Source organism: Homo sapiens, chromosome 1 (genome assembly GCF_000001405.40).
Source record: "Homo sapiens chromosome 1, GRCh38.p14 Primary Assembly".
Classification (NCBI taxonomy): domain Eukaryota; kingdom Metazoa; phylum Chordata; class Mammalia; order Primates; family Hominidae; genus Homo; species Homo sapiens.
In genome coordinates, this window is record NC_000001.11 from 71042095 (window position 1) to 71046505 (window position 4411).

The 4411-nt window shown below is 39.2% G+C and overlaps 1 protein-coding gene across 12 annotated transcripts in view; it reads right to left on the bottom strand.

Moving 5' to 3' along the window:
- The window catches only part of PTGER3 (prostaglandin E receptor 3), a 195459-nt gene that overhangs the window by 189737 nt on the left and 1311 nt on the right, over nt 1–4411 (bottom strand). The window lies entirely within an intron of this gene.

The window sequence follows — 4411 nt, forward strand, 5'->3', positions numbered from 1 at the left end:
CCATGTGAATTTCTTCAAAGATGATGGCTTAAGAAGTGTTTAATTCTTGGCTCTTTCTGATAAACTCAAAAGAGTGAAGTCCTCATCTTGTCATTCAGGGACTAACCATCTAAATTTGTTTTCTTGAACATTTTTAAAACATCATTCCCATTGATCTAGTGTGCACCCTTTGTTCTCATTGGGCTGGGTTTTGGGACACACTTGCTCTCAGTCATGAAGTCATGAAATGAGGTTATGCCAATTCATCTTCCTGGAAATCTCCTCTGGCAAATTCAGACTGACTTTTTTCTGAGAGCCAAAGGCATTAATTACATCCTATCTTGTATTATAATTCTTTAAATATTTCACTCATAAATGTGGAAATTCTGCTTTTCTGAACAGATTATAACATTAATCAGTTTTATAATCATAGAATATTTTGTTGACCTTCACACCTTTTTCAAAAGAGAAAAATTATAGAATATTTTTCCTACAATGTGGATTCATATGTTTAATCACTTTCTCTGAAGCAACATCCTGAATATGGCAGAAAGTTGAGGCAGAAGAGATTAGCAATTGAATAATACTTTTATATGCTATAAAACAACATTATTTCTGAAAATAATTCATCATACATATCTACCACATGTGGCATATTAAAGGCAAATTTCGCTTGTCAAAATACATCAGTGACTCCTTAACTAAAATGAAAAAAAATCACAACTACATTGTGAAATATCTTCTTGAACTGAAACATCTCTGTATTTGTGGATACTGAGCAGGGAATTCAGTGGTTCAAGATTAAAGGCAAAAGTTTCTAAGGCTGCTTTTATCCAGTTCCAAGATTGATGATGAGAAACTGTTTGTTGCTCATACCTCACTTTTCATGATGTTCATAGCTGGCTTTGTATTTACTGTTTTTGAGATAGCTTACAGTATTAGCCACATTCTACCTGTTTGGGAGTGCCAAGTTATAAAAGTACAAAATGTACTCATAGCTTCCTTTGAACAAAATCCTAAGGTTATTCCCATTTCTGGAAATTTAGCTATCAGGTCAAACAACTGAGCTATGGTGAGCATCATTCATAAAATATAAAACATAAAATAATGATAAAAATCAAATAGATTGCATTGCTGGATGAACTGGCTGATTGCAACAGAATGACAATGTGATGCCTTACATAAGCAGTAACTAAAAACTGTAGGTCATCTATCATGGTGACATAATTTCCCACTGTACTCTCTTAATTTCACATTTTATATTGTATTTTGCAAAATTTCTGAGAAAAAGAAAAAGGAAACAAAGCTTTTGTTTAAGGATACATAAACCTCTATTTAAGTATTTATGTAGTGTGAACTTGTAGCTGTTGGGACATTTTCTTATTATGGTGTTTCTGTACTACCAAGTTTTCCTGCAGTAACAACTGAATATTTATTATAGTCATGATAGTCTTCCAGGATATACTCAGGGTCCTTTCAAGTAAGAAGTTTGGACAATTAGAATAGTATCCTACACCCAACTTAACGAATGCTAGCAGGAAACCTATATTACACTCATAGTTAGAAAAAACAGCGTTAATCTCTCATTTTAACACTAATATGCTGAAAATTCAATTCACTAAATTCTAGTGTTTTTATTCTTATAATTCTCTATTAAGAAAGCAGCTTTGCCAGTTTCTTTTCTTTGTAGTAATTCCAACTTTGTACAGTAAATCTTTTTGAAGATATTTGGAGTTTTTTTTTTGTTTTTTGTTTTTTTTTTAGAGGGAGTCCTGCTCTGTCACCCGTGCTGGAGTGCAGTGGCGTGATCTCGGCTCACAGCAACCTCTGTCTCCCTAGCCTAAGTAATTCTCCTGCATCAGCCTCCCGAGTAACTGAGATTACAGGCGCATGCCACCATGCCCCGCTAATTTTTGTATTTTTAGTAGAGGCGGGGTTTGGCCATGTTGGAATGCTGGTCTCGAACTGCTGACCTCAAATGATCCACTCACCTCGGCCTCCCAAAGTGCTGGGATTACAGGCGTGAGCCACTGCGCCCAGCCGATGGAACCATTTTCTTTAAAAAGTTCTCATTTCTCCTAGGCCGGGCACGGTGGCTCATGCCTGTAATCCCAGCACTTTGGGTGGCCGAGGTGGGCGGATCACCTCAGGTCAGGAGTTCGAGACCAGCCTGGCCAACATGGTGAAACCCCATCTCTACTAAAAATACAAAAATTAGCCAGGTGTGGTGGCGGGCGCCTGTAATCCTAGTGACTCCAAAGGCTGAGGCAGTAGAATCACTTGCACCTGGGAGGTGGAGGCTGCAGAGAGCTGAGATCTCACCACTGCACTCCAGCCTGGAGTTTTTTTTTTTGAGACAGAGTCTCAAAAAAAAAAAAAATTCTCCTTTTTGATATGATCACATGTTTAATTTATTTTGTTTAATGTTTTTATAATTGAATTAATAAAGTACCCAGTAAAATGCTATAAATCAATAAGTATTATCCAAATGAAAATAAATTGAAATTAAGTAAGACTAGTTTCAAATGCAGTCTTTCTTGAAAGAGTGAGTTTGGCCATCCTAAATTACAGTTTTCAAGATTGATCTACTTTCTTTCTGAGGCCACCATACTTTTGGTACTAGAATTAAAGTGTCTAAATCAAAAACACACTACATGGCTTCGCTTTGACTTAAAAACAAAATGCACAAACAATAAATTATAAGTCTGATTAACTGTATGGGTATTTTGTTCAATTGATTTAACTGCATTTTTTTTCCCTAGGATATAAATCATGTGATACAGCAAACTCAAAGATGTGGGACTCAAATGACACTTGTGAAAAACTGATACCCTGTTTGCCTTTAAAGTTATATTAATTACCACACTTTAGTAAAGTGTTTACTATTTAGAACTCTTTCTTCCTTCCTAGTTGGCCACCTGTACACTCCATTCCTCAGCCATAAAAGTAAATACTGTATATCTAAAACTGGTGCTGGTTTTGATAAGCCATAGTGATGACATCAGCCTGAGTTCCAACTCCTGGAATAAAGAACTGTGACCATACAGCGACTTGTGGGCAGTTAGGTCTCAGCATAACACTCCTTGTCCCCTCATGTCACTGATTTGGAGCCAAGGTTTGTGCTCCAATCTACCAAACCAGGTTAAAGAAATTACATTTCTATTTTCAAATGCAAGGGATTTAAAAGTATACATGGCGCACAAAAAACTCAACGTACTTAATGCCTAATGCCACTGAACTGTACACATAATAATGGTTAAAATACTGAATTGTATGTAATATATTTTACCATAATTAGGAAAGAAAAAAAACTGCGTTCACGTGTTTCAAAGGTTTTCCACAACTGTATAATACATATAGTTGGTTATACCTTTGTAACAGTGACCATATCGCTCTTTCTGCAACATCTATTAACCCAGACACCCCAGGGCCTAAGTAAGCATCCATTCTTCAGGAATTAGTAAACAGCACTTACACACGGACATTTCTAGCTAAAAGTAACACAGACAAAAAAACCTCAAAAATATCACGTAAGGGCAGGTGTTAGGCAAAGAGCCTCTGCAAACATCCCTTGCTCCTCTGCATTGCTCTGGTGTGAGGAGCTAGGACATGGAGAAACCTCTACCTCCTATCTCAGGATTAGCGAACCCTGCTTGAGTGCTACAAGGGTAAGTAAATGCTGGCCTGAAGAAGCTGCTGAGCTTCCGGATCCCACTGACTGTCGTTCGGGCACTTCCTAGAGGGTCAAGCACCATGGCGAAAGGCTGAGGAGGCAACTCGTATCTTTCATTCTCCTGCCTCATCAAGAATGAACCTTGAAGGCACCCATAGGTCGCGCAGTCTTTCAGAAGCTGCAGGAGGGCTGTGACTGTATGGGGTTGCAGACTGAAAATCTTATTAACGTGAAAGAGGAATTTGAAATTAAAAAAAAAAAACCCGGCCGGGCGCGGTGGCTCACGCTTGTAATCCCAGCACTTTGGGAGGCCGAGGCGGGTGGATCACGAGGTCAGGAGATCGAGACCACGGTGAAACCCCGTCTCTACTAAAAATAAAAAAAAAAAATTAGCCGGGCGTGGTGGCGGGCGCCTGTAGTCCCAGCTACTCGGAGAGGCTGAGGCAGGAGAATGGCGTGAACCCGGGAGGCGGAGCTTGCAGTGAGCCGAGGCTGCGCCACTGTACTCCAGCCTGGGTGACAGAGCGAGACTCCGTCTCAAAAAAAAAAAAAAAAAAAAACCCCACAATATCAGGCTACAGTTATCATAGCAATTCTGCTTTTAATGCACTCAGGACAAACTTCTAGCTCTGCATATATGTCATTTCAATGACACATCCTGTCTCCTACCCGACTAGAATGTGAGCAGCCCTGTGATCTCTATGTGCTCATAAACAGTGCCTAATGCGAATCCTGGCTCTTGGAAGGCGCTCAGCTAGT